The following is a 20,632-nucleotide window of genomic DNA, read 5'->3' as shown; positions in this document are numbered from 1 at the left end:
GAGGACAGGCTATGTAAATCAGTATCCCACTTTTGGAGTTATGTGAGCTTATCCAGTTCACATTCAGTTGAGCTCTTTTCACCGATGAATATTTAACTAAAACATTTTCTCTTCCCACCAATAGTTCCAATAAATGTTGTTTTATAAATGGCAAATTTTACAATAAAAAATAAATATAGAAAAGATATTGCAAAACAAACTTTTAAAATTTCAAATATTTTATTTGTAGTTTCATATGGCAAACACTAGTCTTCCCTCTGCCCTCTGTGCCTTTTGAAATTTGGGTACAATTTGTTTGCAATAAAAAACGAGAACGTGTTCTCCGTACTTGTGTCACCCAGTCTCTTGACCAGGGTATTTCATTAATTAAGTCAGTTTTTAAAATTCCTAGCTTCATTTTTTAAGGGTTAGGCTTCATCTGGACCAACGTTTCTCTTAAGGAATGAAACTACTACATAAAAATCATACACGTTTCCTAGTTTCCCTGAGGCCTGTGACCTGCTGGATCAGAACTGACCATGTTCTTTCCTCTTTGATCTAATAACAACCTTGATAGGCTTTTGTTATCCTACTGACAAGACTTTATTTTTTCACACTTATTTAAGGTGTTGGAGGTGTTTCTCCCTGTATTAACTTCCCAAGGAAAAGCACATATAACTCAGCACATGGCACACACCCTAGCACATAGGATTCAATATCTATTGTACTTGAGACTGCACAAATAAATAAAATTCTGATTATCTGCTTCTTTCTTCTCCCCATGCATCACTCTTCTTGATCTAAATTAATAGATTTTTATTTTTTTCAGTAAAAGTCATCTAACTGTACTATATGTTACATATATATACACACACACACACACAACACACACACACTGTATAATTCTACTTTATATATGTTTTTCCTTTTTGACCTGTCTTTATTTTTTCATATAAAATTCCACAACATTGCATGAGAATAATTTGATTCCTTACCATGGTATTAGGGTTTATAGACTGCAGTGTTTCATTTTTAATCCAATGATTTGCAAAATTTTTATTTCAAGGAAAATAAGAAATATTGACCAGAAAAATAGAAAATGATATTAAAAAACTCTGGTTCACATTTATTCTTTATTACATTAAAAATGAAATTGATATATTAATGGCTATAGAGTTTTGAGTGGAAATGTTATGACCCAAGAATTTTTTTATTTTACCTTGAAATCTTGTTTGTTCGACTTATGAAGAAAAAGAGAATCATTATCAGATATGTAAGGACTCAGGAAATATTCTACCTTTGGGCCCAAGCTGAAAATATTTCTCAAACATGTATTGACAATTTAAAACCCTCTCTATATGTGTCAAAACATCCCTTTGTACCTCCATAAATATGTACAACTATATGTCAATTAAAAATAAAACTTTTTAAAAATTGTATTGACCATTAAAATCACTTAAATATGGAATTAAAACTAAATAGTTGCTGTGTCTATAATGTCAAAATTATATAAATGTTAAAAAATTTGTAAAGAAATGCATAAGTTGCAACACTTAATAATTTTATTAAAAACTATTTTAAACGTAAGACTATACTAACAAGAACAGGAAACACAGGTGATCAATACAAGGAAGATAATATCCTCAGATAATAAGTGAAATAAGAATTAGATAATAAGTAAAAGATTAGTTCAACACATTTTTCAAAACTGTGTGGTTAACAAAGAATGTAAAGAAAACATTAATTTATCCTGCATTACTATTGTAAAATTTTAAAAGAGAAAGAAAAAACTTGAGACAAAAAATACAAAGTACAGAGAAAAAAATGAAAGTACAAAAATAGTGAATGAGTTGACATAAGTAAAAATTGCTAAATCTGTCACTGCAATATATACAAATGATTTTAATCTCCTACCATGGCCAGGTGCAATGGCCTTCACCTGTAATCCCAGCACTTGGGGTAGCCGAGGCAGGCAGATCACTTGGGGTCAGGAGTGCTAGACCAGCCTGTCAACATGGTGGAATATTGTCTCTTCTAAAAATACAAAAACAAGCTGGGTGTGGTGGCGGGCGCCTGTAATCCCATCTACCTTGGGAGGCTGAGGCAGGAGAATGGCTTGAACCCAGGAAGCAGAGGTTGCAGTGAGCTGAGATGGTGCCAATGCACTCCAGCCTGCCAATAGCCCATCTCAAAAAAAAAAAAAAAAAAAAAAAACCTTACCAAAAGACAAGGACTCTTAGCTTGGGTCCACATACAGACATGCACACACACACCCCTACAACCATCTGACCTTTGCCAAACCTGACAGAAATAGCAATGGGGAAAGGATTGCCTATTCAGTAAATGGTGCTGGGAAAACTGGCTAGCTATATGCAGAAAACCGAAACTGGACCACTTCCTTACACCTTATACGAAAATTAACTCAAGATGGATTAAAAACTTAAATGTCAAACCCCAAACCATAAAAACCCTAGAAGAAAACCTAGGCAATACCATTCAGGACATAAGCATGGACAAAGACTTCATGACTAAAACACCAAAAGCAATTGCAGCAAAAGACAAAATTGACAAATGGGATCTAATTAATCTAAAGAGCTTCTGCACAGCAAAACTATCATCAGAGTGAACAGACAACCCATAGAACAGGAGGAATTTTTGCAATCTACCCATCTTACAAAAGTCTAATATCCAGAATTTACAAGGAACTTAAACAAATTCACAAGATAAGAACAACCCCATCAAAAAGTGGGCAAAGGATATGAACAGACACTTCTCAAAAGAAGACATTTATGCAATCAACAAACACATGAAAAAAAGCTCAACATCACTGATCATCAGAGAAATGGAAATTAAAACCACAATGAGATACTATTTCACATCAGTCAGAATGATGATTATTAAAAAGTCAGGAAACAATAGATGCTGGTGAGGCTGTGGAGAAATAGGAACGCTTTTACAATGTTGGTGGGAATGTAAATTAGCTCAACCATTGTGGAAGACAGTATGGAGATTCCTCAAGGATCTAGAAACAGAAATACCACTTGACCCAGCAATCCCATTACTGGGTATATACCCAAAGGAATATAAATCAATCTACTGTAAAGACATATGCACACATATGTTTATTGCAGTACTATTTACAATAGCAAAGACATAGAACTGACCCAAATGCTCATCAATAATGGACTGAATAAGGAAAATGTGGTACATGTACACCATGGAATACTAAGCTGCCATAAAAAGGAATGAGATCACGTCCTTTTCAGGGACACGGATGAAGCTGGAAGCATCATTCTCAGCAAACTAACACAGGAAGAGAAAACCAAACACCACATCTTCTCACTCATAAGTGGGAGTTGAACAATAAGAACACAGGAGAACAACACACACCAGGACCTGTTGAGGGGTAGGTGGGTGAGGGGAGGGAACTTAGAGGACAGGTCAATAGGTGCGGCAAACTACCATGGCACACGTATACCTATGTAACAAGCCTGCACGTTCTGCACATGTATCCTGGTTTTTTTTTTAAGAAGGAAAAAAAAAGACAAGGACTCTTAGCTTGGGTACACACACACACACAGAGACACACACACAAACAGGTTGTGAAAATATGTACGAAGAAAATACACAATAAAATAAAATAGGAATCTTAAAAGGAATAGGTAGTAATGTAGGATTCTGGGGAAATAAGCAAGGAAGAGATTTTTTAAATAAAACATAAATTTGCCTACAACAGTGATTAAGCTTTATAAATAACATAGCAATAAAATTGAACAAAAAGATTTAGATACAAGAAATATCCATAGAAATAATGCTGTAGTACACAGAACAAGTATGTAAAAAGTAAATTCCAATATAAAGGACTATATGGAAATTAAAATTTTTAAAATAAGAATATTTTACCTAAAAGCTTTTGGAGGAAACAGGAAACTATGCTGCAATCATAAGATACTTAGAATTTTTTTTTTTTTTTTTTGAGATGGAGTTTCACTCTTGTCACCCAGGCTGGAGTGCAATGGTGTGTTCTCGGTTCACTGCAACCTCCGCCTCTCCAGTTCAAGTGATTCTCCTGCCTCAGCCTCCAGAGTAGCTGAGATTACAGGCATCCACCACCCTGCCTGGCTAATTTTTTTGTATTTTTAGTAGAGACGGGGTTTCACCATGTTGGCCAGGCTGGTCTCGAACTCCTGACCTCAGATGATCCACCTGCCTTGGCCTTCCAAAGTGTTAGGATTACAGGCATGAGCCAAGTTTTTAAAAAACTTTATATAAAATAAGAATAATGCTCAAAGTATTTCTCAGAATCAAATCTATAGCCATAAAAGTTACTTATTAAATGAAAGAACCTAGATAATAAAATATAGAACAAAAATATAAGGAACGTAAGGAGTAAATAAAAATAACTGAATAAATAAATAACAAAATAGTTGAATATACAAAAATAAACTTGAGAACACAGACTTTGAATAAAAATGGTTTACAGTTATACACACAAGCTTAAAGTAGTATAATCGACAACAGAAAAATAAGATAATAAAACTAAGGGCATGAAATACAGATAATAAGAGTTCAAATTATTGCAAAATAGTATGCATACATATAATATAAATAAAAGTATGTTATTTATTTAATGTATAAATATAGTAAATAAATAAAAATTTTACTGGAGAGGAAGAAAGCAGGAAAACATGAATTTATATATCTGTGCATTGTTTTCTCTAAAATAAGACTCATAGGAATTTTGAATTCATTTATCAAGTAAAGAATTCTGAATATATATATATACGTATATATATCACATTATAAACATATATATACATATATATCGCATTGTAAACTTTTTTTTTTTTTTTAAGAAAGAGAGTCTTGCTATATTGCCCATTGTGGCCTCGAACTTGTGGGCTCCAGATGTCTTCTTGACTGAGTCTTTTTGAGTAGTTGGGACCACAGACACACACCACTATGCACAGTTATATGCATTATTTAAAATCTTTTTCATAAAAATTAAAATTAAAACTAGATTTTTTTTCCTCCTGTTATTTTAATAGCCACCCTAACTCTTATTGTAACAATGTAAGTAATAATGAAAAATAAATCAGAAAGATAGATATTTGAATATTTCAAGTACCCTTGAATAAAAATTTTTCTGGAGAGGAAGGAAACAGAAAAACATAAAATTATGTATCTGTGCATTTTTTTCTTTTCCCTAAAATAAGATTTATAGGAATTTTGAATTCTTTTCTCAAGTAAAGAATTCTGAATATAAATAAAATTTAAAATAGCAAAACTTAATAAACAAAATCAAAATAGTATTATTCTTTAAAAATTGAATATAACCTTAGAAATACTTTTTAATACTATTTTCAATCATAGATGTGATTGACTTTGTCAGAACTTACTCTCAGGTCACCAAACCATGCTATACAATATACTGAATATACTACACATTGAAGTGGGTATTCAACCACAAGTAGATCTGAACTTGGAGAGTTTTATATCTAGTATTTTGCCACTAGAGAGCTGAGATAGCAATAATAAATTGGGTTTTGACCTAATGTGGCAAAAATACAGGACTGTCATATCTAGAAGAGACTTTGGAGGATCAGAAAAAAAAACCTGATCGTTCAGAAACATGTTTTAAAATACACCATAGAACAGGTTTCTATATTAGCTGAAATTTCAAAATGAATTCACTAGCCACTTAAGTACATTGTGTTCTTTCTAAAATATCTGACTTCAAGTTTTCACTTCTAAATTTTAACTTTATGAATACAGAAATATTAAACATCCAGATGCAGACATTCAGAGGTTCCCATCTGTCTCATGTTTTCCATCAAGGAGCCATTTCAGGTTTCCAGGAACTCCATAGTAATATATTATATGTGAGGGGGTAGACAGATGCCAAACCTCTGTCTGCAGAGACAACTGTTTCAGGAGAAAGAAACAGAAACAGAGTTTGCTAGGTTTCCATGCCTGAAAGTCCAAGGAGTTGGGCTGAAATTTGATCTTTGTATAACTAAAACCACTGGGTAATATTTAAAAAGCAAAATGTGGGCTTTAAATGACATTTCATATGCTGACTCTAGAAAACAGAAATAACTTCTGGGTGTCCAGGCAGGACATCTAAAGTCTTTAACAAATGGTAAATCACAAATCAAGTCAAACATGGGATCAAGAATAAAAATACAAGGACACTGTATTATTATGGGGATTAAGTCTTTAATCTCCTAGAAATCTGTTTTTCTGTTGTTGTTAAGAAGCATACACACCATAGACAAAGCATATTATTCAAGATTTTGTCCTCCAAAGTGAAGTCTTTTATGTTCCCAAGACATAAATCGGAGATTTCTCTTTTTTAAAAAAAAATAAAAGGCTTTTAAAAGTCAGGCCACCACAGTGGTTCACACCTGTAATCCCAGCACTTTGGGAGGCTGAGGTAGGCGGATCACTTGAGGTCAGGAGTTTGAGACTAGCCTGGCCAACATGGTGAAACCCCATCTCTACTAAAAACACAAAAATTAGCCGGGCATGGTGGCACAAGCCTGTAATCCTAGCTACTGGGGAGGCTGAGGCAGGAGAATCACTTGAACTTGGGAGATAGATGCTACATGCCACTGCACTCTAGCCTGGGCAACAGAGTAAGACTGTGTCTCAAAAATAAATAAATAAATAAATAAATAAATAAAATAAATAAATAAAAATAAAAAGTCATATTCCACATAAGTATATTTTTCTAAATATAAAAGTAAATATTATCAGCTATCAGAGTGTAGTGTATACAAAGTTCCTGTCTTGCATATAGTCTTACTTTAATTCACCTTCATTAGACTGCCAAAATTTTAAAGACAAAATTTCACAGCCTTAGTATATTTATTATGCTAACAGAAGTTCACCTATGCACTTTTCACTCCTCTTAAATTAAATTTGTACTTAAAGATACAGGGAATTAGAGCTAGAGGCATCCTTGAAATAATCTCTACGACCATTTTATTATTAATTGTCTCTAAATGCTACCAGAAAAGATGTGTCAGGGAAAAATCAAGTAAGGTGATTAAAATATTGATTAAAAACAATTTGATTTTCCTCTTGCTGTAGGAGGCAAGCTGATGCTGCAACCATTTTGGAGAGTTGAGCCTCTTTCTTGTCTCTTTCTGGCTCAAAATGGGAAAAGGTAAATGAGAAGTCTCAGAACTGCAGTTTGGCTTGTTGATTAGCTGGTCACTGTCCTCAGGCAACCAATCCCAATATGATCAAGGGCTGGCCCTGTTAGAGAATCTACCTGCTACAGCCATCACTACTGCAGTCTGTGTGAAAGACACAGCCCTCTACCCTGGGCTCTTGGCCTCACATAAAACTTCTTTACTGGCCTGATTTTCATTTATCTTAATTACAGTCCCCTAGCCCTGGGACTATCACACTCATCCAAAGTAAGTAATTATAAAATGTCGTGAACTGAATGTATATGTCTCCTCAAAATTCACATGTTGAAGCTCTAACACTCATTGTGGTGATATTTGAAGATGGGACTTTGAGAAGTTATTAGGTTTAGATGAGGTCTTGAGGGTGGGCCCCCCAAGATGGGATTAATGGCCTTTTAAGAAGAGAAAGACCATTTAATAAACGGTGCTGGAAAAACTGGCTAGCCATATGTAGAAAGCTGAAACTGCATCCCTTCCTTGCACCATATACAAAAATTAATTCAATATGGATTAAAGACTTAAATGTAAGACCTAACACCATAAAAACCCTAGAGGAAAACCTAGGCAATGCCATTCAGGACATAGGCATGGGCAAGGACTTCATGTCTAAAACACCAAAAGCAATGGCAACAAAACCCGAAATTGACAAATGGGATCTAGTTGAACTAAAGAGCTTCTGCACAGCAAAAGAAACTATCATCAGAGTGAACAGGCAACCAACAGAATGGGAGAAAATTTTTGCAATCTACCCACCTGACAAAGGGCTAATATCCAGAATCTACAAAGAACTTAAACAAATGTACAAGAAAAAAACAAACAACCCCATCCAAAAGTGGGCAAAGGATATGAACAGACACTTCTCAAAAGAAGACATTTATGCAGCCAACAGACATATGCAAAAATGCTCAACATCACTGGTCATCAGAGAAATGCAAATCAAAACCACAATGAGATATCATCTCACACCAGTTAGAATGGCGATCATTAAAAAGTCAGGAAACAACACATGCTAGAGAGGATTGGAGAAATGGGAACACTTTTACACTGTTAGTAGGAGTGTAAATTAGTTCAACTATTGTGGAAGACAGTGTGGTGATTCCTCAAGGATCTAGAACCAGAAATACCATTTGACCCAGCAATCCCATTACTGGGTATCTATCCAAAGGATTATAAATCATTCTACTGTAAAGACACATGCACATGTATGTTTATTGCAGCACTGTTCACAAGAGCAAAGACTTGAAACCAACCCAAATGTCCATCAATGATAGACTGGATTAAGAAAATGTGGCACATATACACCATGGAATACTATGCAGCCATAAAAAAGGATGAGTTCACGTCCTTTGCAGGGACATGGATGAAGGTGGAAGCCATCATTCTCAGCAAACTATCACAAGGACAGAAAACCAAACACTGCATGTTCTCACTTATGAGTACGAGTTGAACAATGAGAACACATGGACACAGTGTGGGGAACATCACACACTGGGGCTGGTCAGGGAGTGGGTGACTGGGGGAGAGATGACATTAGGAGAAATATCTAATGTAAATGACGAGTTGATGGGTGCAGCAAACCAACATGGCACATGTTTACCTATGTAACAAACCTGCACGTCGTGCACATGTACCCTAGAACTTAAATATAATAAAAAAAAAAAAGAAGAGAAAGACCAGAGCATACTCTCCCTCTTTTTTCTTTTTTCTCCCTCTCCTTCTCTCTCTCTCTCCACCTTGTGAGGACACAGCAAGAAGGAACCCAAGTCAAGAGGAAAGCCTTCCCTAGGAGTCAAATCTGCCAGCACCTTGTTATAGCAGCCTGAGCTGAATAAGACATGGAAACCATCATTCTCAGTAAGCTATCGCAAGGACAAAAAGCCAAACACCGTATGTTCTCACTCATAGGTGGGAATTGAACAATGAGAACACTTGGACACAGGAAGGGGAACATCACACACCTGGGCCTGTTGTCGGGTGGGGAAATGGGGGAGGGATAGCATTAGGAGATATACCTAATGTTAAATGACAAGTTAGTGGGTGCAGCACACCAACATGGCACATGTATACATATGTAACAAAACTGCACGTTGTGCACATGTACCCTAGAACTTAAATTATAATAATATGTATATAAAAGACATGGAGCAATTCGACTTCCCTCAATTCCAGCCAAGAGTATTTTTCCTCACCCATTTCAGCACTCTCAAGGTTTCTTTTGATCAGTGTCTTCAGGGCTGCTGAATCACTCCTGTTCTGTCAATGACCATGGAGGGTTGGAGAGAACTGGTTGTCAGCCTCCAAGTATCCAGGTCATTACTCTCCCTCACCAAAATCTTCTAATCAGAAATGCCTGTTAGACATGAATGCACATCTGATATACAAACCACAGTGATGAAAATAAATCTTAAGTTGTTACTTACATTAGTATAGAACATAATCCAATCATGAAGTTACAAAGCTGAGCTGTAACTTGGAAATCAACTTGGCAACACCACTTTTATTAGATAGTTGAGGAAACTGAATCACAAAAATATTAATAGCTTATCCAAATTCACAAAGTCAGGGTGGATGTGGGCACAGAAATAATACTCTGTCAATCTGTATTGTTCAGCTCATTTCATGCTTTAAACAAGCATTTTTATAGCCAAAAAAAAAAAAAAAAGAAAACGGCTAAGATAAAATTTTAAAATTACACACATACATATGCCTCATTCTGTCTTCTAAGGCTTTGGAAACATTGATATCACTATGAATGCTCAATATTTTGCCACATGCTGAGATTACAGCATGGCAAATCAAAGCCATAATAGTAACCATTGCTTCTTGATCATCCAATTTAAACTGTCATCTCCTAAACCAAAAGTCTTCCACATCAATTAAAGTAAAACTTAGACATGCACGTTACGCATTTGAGGATGGAGATAAACAAGACAACTCATGCCTTAAGTAAAGAACAGCCCATTGGGAGAAACTGACAGCTGAACAAGTCAGCTAGTAGGAAATATGCTTGGATCATTTCTATAATGAGAAATGCTGTAATCAGAAGGCAAACTCTTGTAATCTATCAAAGGGGGTAAAACAATTTCTTTTGAAAGAATCAAGGAAAAGTTCATGTAAGAGATTTCACACTGTGAGTAGGATTTAGACAGAAAGAAACAGGAAGATATGGAAAATGAAGGAAATTCTTTGAGCAAGGAAGGGCAGAGAGGTGGGCAAAAGCCAGGACTTTTCCAGTGAACAGCGACTAGGTAAGTGTTGCAGAAGACGATGGAGAATGGATGAGGTGGTAGTTAGGCAGAGCATCAGAAAGGGAGGTCAGAGTCAGCCAGATCATGGATATTGATGCTGATATTTGCATGCTAAGAAGTTCATTTTAACTTAGTAGACAAAGGAGAGCCAAGAAAAATGATCCTTAGAATATAACTCATCAGGTCTCTGAATTACAAAATTACAACACTAAAAACAAATTAATAATAACAATAAAAAGTATCCAGATACTGTATTCTCTTCATTCTTCATTGAGACATTTGGAAACTGAGTATCCAGTTTATCATTATTTACCAGTGAAATCTTACCAACAGAGTTATCCTTTCATTGTAATTTGTTTAATCTTTCCAAAATCTGCTAATGTTTTCACTTGTGGCCTTCTAAGACTCTGGCCCTGGCTCCAGTCATCACTTAACAGCTCCTTGGCTGCCCTTCTCCATTCATCCATCACATGCTTGAAGTCCATCCAAAATTATGCAGTACATTTCACTTTTTCCATTTCTTGTAATCCTCATGTTATAATACATTGGCCTCTTGGACACCTGAAAATTAGGTTCAAGTAATTTCTGGTTCTGATGCCTCAAACACTTCATGCCATTGTTCTTTTAGAGTACCCTTCAAGGCCCAGGTTGCACTCATCTCATTGAAACTGACTTTAGGTAGCTCTCTCTGTCAAGGTTCAGCCTGATTCTGACCAAGAATAAGAAGAATGAGGGTCCTCCTACACTTGTCTGTGAAATTTAGTTGAAGAGTGACAGAGTATTAATTAATCATACATATTATATCTAAAATTGATCTCTGCATTACCTACCTCTTGCTCTGCTACATGTTTTTCATACATTTTAAGCCATCTTATCCAATTGTTTTCTATTCTGATGGTAGCTGCTAAAAATAGCAAAATATTCTAAATTCATAGAAAGATGACATTTCAGTGCAATGTGTAAATCCTTGTTTTGATAGAGAAATCTCTATTTCCATAGATATAACTCTCTCCTGAAACTCATGCATTAGCTCTCTCCCTCCCTCTTCCTATCCCTCTTCTTATTCCTCTTCTCCCTTTCTCTCCTAATTCCCTTATTTTTTTATCATCAAGCACTTATCTCAAATTATCCCCTCAGAAATTCTAGTTCAGCAGTTTTAAAGATTAAAAAGATATTCCTTAGAGAAATATGCTCACTTTAGAGATGAAGACACTGAGATACAGGGAAGATGTGTTTAGGTTTATATGTAAAGGTAGTTACAAGGCTAGCATAGAAACTAAGGACCAATCCTTAGACCACTGAGAAAGTTACAGTCCTGTTTTAAAATTAGTTTGCAAGAGACCAAGATTCTTTGTTCTATCTTGGAAATAATCTTGGCTTCTGACTAAGACATCAATTATATTATATAAATTAACTCAAGAACAGAAAAACCTGTCCAATACCCAGCTGACCCATCACTTGGAATTGGCTCTGGCTTGAGAATTCTTTTGTGTAAATGAGCTAGCATCAGTAGCAACTGCAGAATCGTACCCTTTGCTTAATTATCTTGCTTAAATTCTTCATTTAGCAAATGCTACTTAGGCATGAGATATATCAGTTTTCTGTACTAAGGGAAATAATTTCATTCAGTTTAGAAAAGAATATGTTTGTTGATAAATGCTATTACATATAAACTGATTTTTCCACTGCAATTTACTAGCATTTCCGACAGTTTTTTTCAATACCATTATAAATTTTACCTTAATTTCTGAACATTATAGAATTAACTTTCAAGAATATTGCCATATCTGCATTATAATAATCTGTCATTCATTTTTTAATAGAATTCATCTAAATTTTTGCCATTACTTGTTCTAACAAATCATTGTGTAAGTCATCAAGCACATACTAATAAAAGACTTTATTGTTTACCAAATATAGAAGATAACTTTTTTCATGGGAAAATGTCTGGTTTTGGAACTAGGGAGACTGAAACTTAAATCTTCCCTTGGCCGTTTGTTACTTCTAGGGTTTAGGCAAGTTACTTGATATCTATATGAAATATGGACTACCAATTACAATGGTATTGTAAAAAAAATATTATTACAGTATTAGAAAGTGTCTAGCTCAGGGATGGCTTATAGTACGTGCTCAAAAATATTAGCTCTCTTTCCCCTTTCCCAGAAATGTAAGAATATTGCCTCATCGCAATGATCCTTTAGACCTTATGATTTCACTTGAAGTGGCCATTCTTAGTTTCAATAATTATATAAAATTTAGACAAATTAATGAGGGAAGAATAGAGTGCATTTACTTCTTTCTAATTGCAAAAACATTTTGTCAATTGAAATTTAAAAAGAGAAATGTTTTAACACATGCTATATTTTCCTCAGCCAACTAGTACAGCATTTATGGGGATGTCATCTTGCAAATTTTATTTTACTTAAAATCAAGCGCCAAGTTGTTTTTCTCATTAAATCAAAAATAAGCTGTTGCCTGATTATATGTCTAGCATGTTCTTGAATGAACATTAATGAGCTCATCTCTTTTTTTGGAATGTTTTATGTCATATTTCAAATCTATCTTACAGACTCACCAAAAAGGATAATTTAACATTAAATCTAAAGTTAAACATCAAGATAAATTAATGAAGAAAGACAAGTTATAAGGGAATTGAAAAGAAAAAATACACGCAGTGGGGGGAAGAGTAGAATGAAGACAAGAGAAAAGTGAGTCAGAGGAAATTCACAAAATTTGAAGTATATTAATGTGAATGTGCTCATGACTCCAAGCTGATTCAGTATCTCATTTGAATAACCCAACATAAACCTATGAAAGAAAACAATGTGATTAAGAAAGGTCTGGTACTTTTATAGTTATTCAACTGAATTGATATGAAGCAAATCTCAACCATGTGCAAGTTAGAGTCCCATTCGAAAGGCAGAGTATTATGAGCACTTAAAATGGAGTAAAAGGGCAAAAAGAGTCACCAGAGGGCCATAAAAAGAAGAAAAAAAATCCTGAATACATTTATTTAACAAACTTTTAAAGGTTAGTGTTTTGCCATAACTTTGGCTATGTCATAAAGTAAAAAACGATTTATCTCTGTGTTTACAAGTGCTTGGTCCTGAACTTAAAAACATATTCCTCTTTATAAATTTACTCTCAAAATTGTTACTTGGTAGTTTAGAAAATCTTGATTATGTTGGATGTAGTATGGGAAAGGTGAAATCAGATGCATGTTGGACTAAATGTTCCACACATTTGGGGTTCTATAAACTCTAAGCTTATTTTTTCAGAAAACGTCAAATACTTGTTTATATTGAAAAACACATGAAGCCAGGTTTCCAATCTCTTTCATTTAATTCATAGCATTTTTAAAGAACTACTTATCGTACTAAAAGTCGTGGTTTCTTTACTGAATCTAAGTTTTCTTTAACACAAGAAGAAGAAATTTGAAAAACAATAGGTATAGGTTATTCTTAACATTAATGTTAAGTTAGTTTGAAATCTATAATGTTATTTCTAGAAAGAGAGTAAAAATCTGTATAATTTTTCCAAAGGTGTCCCTCTTCCCTCAAACAGAAGTAATTCTAGGTAAAAGTGCCATTCTAATGGATTCATCTCAAAATTGTAATAAAGAAAAATGTACCATTATGTAACTGTAAAGACACCATCTTTTCATCTGTTAGGTCACTTTTATCTCTAATCAAAAGGGTATAGATTTTGATAATAATATCAAAACTCATGTTATAGTAGTTATAATTTTTCTTTATACATTTATGAATGAACTATATATAATTGACTCAGTATTTCAGAAAATATTTAATGAACAATTTTATGTGTCAAGCATCATTCTGGGTTCTACAACCAGAGTTGACAAGAAAGACAGTTTCTGTGCTTGTGAAGTTGACATTGCAATGGAGGCAGTAGTAAGGTAATGACAGAAGAAAATAAAAGAGCTGATGGAGTACATAGTGATGGTAGGAGGAAATATATTTAGATAAGGCAGTGAGAAAAGCTTTTATGTAATGAGGAGGTGATAATTGAGCTGAGATTTGAAGGAGTCAGCCATAGAAAGATTTGGGAGAAGAATTCCTAAAGGCAGAAACAAGGGTGTCAGGTATATAGCAAAAATGATATTGGAGTACTCTTATGGTGCATTGAAGAAGGTGGCAAATTATTGACAGTTATCATGAGATAGTGTCTATTTGCCCTCACCTTGAATTTGGGCTGGCTTGCAACTTCTTTGACCAATAGAGTGTGTTAGGAGTGAGGCTGTGACAGTTCTGGGCTAATCCCTTAAAGGACTGGCAGCTTTTGCCAGATTTTTTAGATCCCTTAAACAACATAGAAACATTCCTTAACTTTCCTAGAGAGACCACATGGAGAAAGCCTGAGACTCTAAGGAGGGACAAATAGAGAGAGGCTACACTGAGTACAGCTTTTCTGTTAGCCCATCTAGGGCTCCAGACACATGAGTAAAGCTATTTTGGAACCTCCAGTCTGGCAGCCAGTTGAATATGCCACGAACAGCAGGATAGTCATCCAGCCAAGCTCTACCAGAATTCTTCCTTAACTCACAAACTTGAGATAAATTGTTAAGCCATGAAATTTTGGAGAAGCTTATTATGCAGCAAAAGGTAACTGCAACATTGCCCAGCAGAAAAATACCATTATGGTAGAACCAGGATGAACAAAGGACACCACAATCTGGAATAGGGCCAGATATTTTATTCGGCCCCAGAATGTGTGCACATTAATGACAAAATGTGATTCTGACCTGATATGTAGGTATCTTTTATAGACATATATAACGTATTTAGACATATGTTAGGTATGTCTACAAAAGATATCTATATATCAGGTCAGAATCACATTTTGTCGTTTAATTCTGAATCGCCTTTTGTCATTCATCTCTTATCTGCTACTTTTTAGAAAATAGATTTTAGAGAGGTAAGAATATAAGAAGGGAGAACAGTTTTCAAAAGAATATTGTAGTGATATTATCGCATTTAATTTTCATAACACTTGAGTAAGAAAGCAGTCTTTCTTTTATTTTGTAAGTGAATATGCTGAAGAACATGAAAGTTAAATAATTTACCTAGGGTTGTGTAGGTAGTGAAATGTGAAAGTGGAGAGGTTGCTTAATTGTGTCAACTGTTGTTGAACAATCAAGTAGGAAGAGGACAGAGCACAACCACTGAACTTAGAAAGAAGCTATTAGTTACCTTGAAAATGGGTAAATTTGTAGATTTTTTGGTGAAGAAACTCTGATTATAGTAAAATAAAGAAAGAGAAGCAATGGAAGCAAATGGATAAGCAATCTTTTTGATAAGTCTTTTCTTTCTATGAAGTGTAGAGAGATGGTAGAAGGATTTAAAATTAGGTGTGTTTTTTGTCTCAGACAAAAGATACTGGGGAATTTTTATATACCATTAGGAACTGCAGTATAGGGACAAATCAAAGTTGGAAGTGAGGGAGAAAGGGAGAGAAACAGAGAGGGAGGCAGAGACAGAGAGACAGGGAGAGGGAGAGAGAGAAGACATTACATAAGTGAAGTTTTTGAGTATACAAAAGTAGGGAGTTTATTTGACTATGGATAGGATCATTGACTCTTCTTATCTGAAAACGAGGTGAAGCAAAGTATCTTAGCATAGATGAGGGTCAGTCTAATAAGATGATGACATGGGTCTCGTCAGTGTGTTTACAACTTATACTGTCTGAGGTCGTATGTCAGAGTTGGGGGTGATATGAATTGAAGGTACAGAATACATTTCTTAGGACATAGAGGAAAATTCATAGAAAAATGAAGGAGAATTTTTAGCCAGTGTTTGGATACCATCTGGAATTTATGGTCATTATTTGTTGTGCGACTATTAAGCATTATTTTTTCCAATGAGGTGAGTCTAAGGATGGGACTTTTTGGAATTAATTTTATTAAAGTAAGAAAGGAAAAGGAGTGTATAAAGGAAAGTGATTATAGTGACACACCACGGAATCATAGACTTTAAGGTCTGTAAGGAGGAAATTGAACTATATAGGGAATTCTGAGTAGTGAAAATCAGAGTCAAAAGGGGTGGGGTTACTGAAGAGGTTGAAGAATTATGGCTGTATAAGAACTAGAATAAGTAAGCCAAATGAATAGGAGGTGGTGACTGGACACTTGGATTCCTGAAATTGAGATTTTGGAGTTTAGATAGTCATTATTAATTTAGAGTTATATAAAGGACCATGAGAGTGGGAGGCTGAGGGAGTTGGAGAAAAAATTATTGCAGAAGTCATCAAGTATGGAGAAACTAAGATATTACGTATATAACAAACAAGGTAGTTATCACAAAGAATGATGTCAGGAGCAGTGATAAAAAGAAAATCAATAAGCCAGCCCAGAATTGTGTGCGTGCTTGTGTGTAAATATAAAACACATTTAATCTTTCCTTCCAGGTTGTAAGATTCTTGAAGATAAGATCCAGGTCTGCTTAACTTTGGACTTGTCCATTGTGCTAACTATATGGTATTTTTTGGTAATTTTATGTTTTGTAGAAATGTAATTCAATTTATTAATTTTAAGTTTCCTTTTCTTTTTAAAATTTGTGGTTTTTGTAGGTGCATAGTAAATATATATATATTGATGGAATACATGAGATATTCTGATGCAGGCATGCAATACGTAATAATTGCATCATGGAAAATGGGCTATCCAACCCCTCAAGCATTTATTCTTTATGTTACAAGTAACTCAACTATACTCTTATATTTAAAAATGTACATGTAAATTATTTTGACTATAGTCACTCTGCTATACTATAAAATACTAGATCTTATTCATCTTTCTAACTACATTTTTTTGTACCCATTAACTATCCCCACTTCCCCACCACCTCCTACTACTCTTCGTAACCTATGGAAATCATTCTTCTAATCTCTATCTCTGTGAGTTCAAGTGTTTTGATTTTTGCATCCCACAAATAAGTGAGAATATGTGATGTCTCTTTTTCTGTGCCTGGCTTGTTTCACTGAACATAATTACCTCCAGTTCCATCCACGTTGCTGCAAATAACAGGATCTCATTCTTTTTTTATGGCTAAATAGTACATTATTGTGTATAAGTACCACATTTTCTTTATTCATTCATCTGTTGATGGACACTTAGGTTGCTTCCATATCTTGGCTGTTGTGAACAGTGGTGCAACAAACATGGGAGTGCAGATATCTCTTCAACATACTGATTTCTCTTCTTTGGGGTATATACCCAGCAGTGGAATTGCTGGATCATATGGTAGTTCTATTTTCACTTTTTTGAGGAGCCTTAAAACTGTTCTCCATAATAGCTATACTAATTTACATTCCCACCAACAGTGTATGAGGTTCTCCTTTTCTCCACATCCTCACCAACATTTGTTATTGTCTGTCTTTGGATAAAAGCCATTGTAGCTGAGGTGAAATGATATATCATTGCGTTCCTCTGATGATAAATGATGATGAGATCCTTTTCAAATGCCTGTTTCCCACTTGTATGTCTTCTTTGGAGACATGTCTTCAAATTTTCTGCCCATTATTTTACTGAATTATCCATGTTTTTCTTATAGGGTTGTTTGAGCTCCTTATATATTCTGGTTATTAATCCCTTGACAGATGGGTAGTTTGCAAATATTTTCTCCCATCCTGTGGGTTTTCTCTTCACTTTGTTAACTGTTTCCATCACTGTGCAAAATATTTTTCAGTTGATATGATTCCATTTGTCCATTTTTGTTTCTGTTGCCTGCACTTGTAGGATATTACTCAGGGAATTTTTGCCCCAGTGACTGTCCTGGAGAATTTCTCCAATGTTTTCTTGTAGTAATTTCAATAGTTAATCAATTTGGATTTTATTTTTGTATATGGGGAGGTCAAGGGTATTATTTCATTCTTCTGCATATGGATATCCAGTTTTCCCAGCATGGTTTAATGAAGAGAATGTTTTTTCCCAATGTATGTTCTTGGTAACTTTGTCAAAAATGAGTTCACTGTAGGTGTGTGGATTTGTTTCTGGGTTCTCTATTGTGTTCCTTTAGTCCATGTGTCTGTTTTTATGCCAGTACCATGCTGTTTTGGTTATTAATGCTCTGTGGTATAATTTGAAGTCAGGTAATGTGATTCCTCCAGTTTCATTCTTTTTGCTCAAGATAGCTTTGGTTATTCTGGATCTTTCATGGCTCCATATAAATTTTAAGATTTTTTTTTCCATTTCTGTTAAGAATATCATTGATATTTTGATAGGGATTGCACTGAATATTTAGATTGCTTTGGTAGTGTAGACATTTTAACAATATTGATTATTTCAATCTATGAACATGGAATAAATCTTTCCATTTTTTATTTCTTCTTCAATTTCTTGTGTCAGAGTTTTATAGTTTTTAATGTAGAAATCATTCACTTCTTTGGTTAAGTGAATTCCTACGTATTTAATTTCATTTGTGGCTATTGTAAATGGGATTACTTTCTCAATTTCTTTTTCAGATTGTTCACTGTTGGCATATAAAAATGCTGCTGATTTTTGTATGTTGATTTTGTATCTTGTAATGTTACTGAATTTATTTATTATCACTTATGTTTTTTGGTGCAGTCTTTAGGTTTTTCCAAATGTAAGATCATATCTGCAAACAGGGATAATTTAATATCTTCCTTTCTAAATTTCTTGCTCTTTATTTATTTCTTTTCTCTGATTGCTCTAGCTAGGACTCAAAAAATGTTGGATATCAGTTGTGAAAGTGGACATTCTTGTCATGTTCCAAATCTTACAGGAAAGGCGTTCACTTTTTCCCTATTCAGTATGACACTAGCTGTATGTATGTTGTATATGGTGTTTATTATGTTGAAGTATGTTCTTTCTAAATCCAGTTTTTTGAGGATTTTTATCATGAAGGGATGTTTAATTCTATCAAATGGTTTTACACCATCAATTGAAATGATCATATGGTTTTTGTTCTTCATTTGGTTGACATGATGTATTACACTGATCTGCATAAGTTGAACCATCCTTGTGTCCCTGGGATAAATCCTACTTGGTCTTGATGAATGATCTTACTAACATAATGTTGAATTCAATTTGCTAGTATTTTGTTAAGGATTTTTTGCAACAATTTCATCAGAGATATAGGCCTATAGTTTTCTTTTTTTTGATGTGTCTTTGTCTGATTTTGTTATCAGGGTAATACTAGCCTATTGAAACATTTGGAATTATTCCCTCCTCCTCTGTTTTTTTGGAATACTTTGAGTAAAATTGGTATTATTTAAATCATTGATAAAATTCAGCATAGAAGCTAACACATCACAGGCTTTTCTTTGTTAGGAGACTTTTTTATTATGAATTTAGTCTCTTGTTACTGGTATGCTCATTTCTGGATTTCTTCATGATTCAATCTTGGTAGGTTGCATGTATCTAGAAATTTATCCATTTTCTCTAGATTTTCCTATTTATTGGGATGTAGTTTGTCATGTCATTTTTTTTCTGGTCACTAATGATCCTTTGAATTTCGGATGTATCAGTTGTAATGTCCTGCTTTTCATCTCTGATTTTATTTATTTGGGTCTTTCTCTTTTTTTCTTCATTAGTCTGGCAAAAGTTGTTCATTTTTTATTGCTTCAAAAAATCAACTTTGTGTTTTGTTGATCTTTTATACGTTTTCTTCATTTCAAATTCATTTATTTCTGCTGTAATATTTATTACTTTTCCTTTTGCTAATTTTGGATTCAGTTTGTTCTTGCTTTTCTAGTTCTTTAAGATGCATCATTAGGTTATTTATTTGATGTTTTTCTTCTTTTTTGATGTAGGCACTCAGAGCTATACATATAATGTACTACTTCTCCTGTATCCCATACATTTTGGTAAGCATGTTTTCATTATCATTAGTTTCAAGACATTTTTCTACTTCCTAATTTCTTCATCGACTCACTGGTCATTCAGGAGCATGTTGTTTAATTTTCATGTGTTTGCATAGTTTCCAAAATTCCTTCTGTTATTGATTTCTAGTTTTATTTCATTGTTGTCAAAGAAGACGCTTGACATAAATTTCATTTTTTTAATGTTTTAAGACTTGTTTCATAACCTAACATGTAGTCTATCCTTAAAATGATCTATGTGCTTGAGAAGAAGTTTGTGTATTCTGCAGCCTTTTCATGAAATGTTATGTAAGTATCTCCAGTTGGTCTATAGTGCAGATTAAGTCTGATGTTTCTGTGTTAATT

At 34.3% G+C, this 20,632-nt stretch overlaps 1 long non-coding RNA gene across 1 annotated transcript in view; it reads right to left on the bottom strand.

Moving 5' to 3' along the window:
* LOC101928516 (uncharacterized) overlaps nucleotides 1–20,632 on the bottom strand; it is a 621,277-nt gene that overhangs the window by 245,476 nt on the left and 355,169 nt on the right. The window lies entirely within an intron of this gene.

This window comes from Homo sapiens, chromosome 6 (assembly GCF_000001405.40).
Source record: "Homo sapiens chromosome 6, GRCh38.p14 Primary Assembly".
NCBI classification, from domain to species: Eukaryota; Metazoa; Chordata; class Mammalia; order Primates; family Hominidae; genus Homo; species Homo sapiens.
This window is presented reverse-complemented; position numbering and strand designations above follow the sequence as displayed.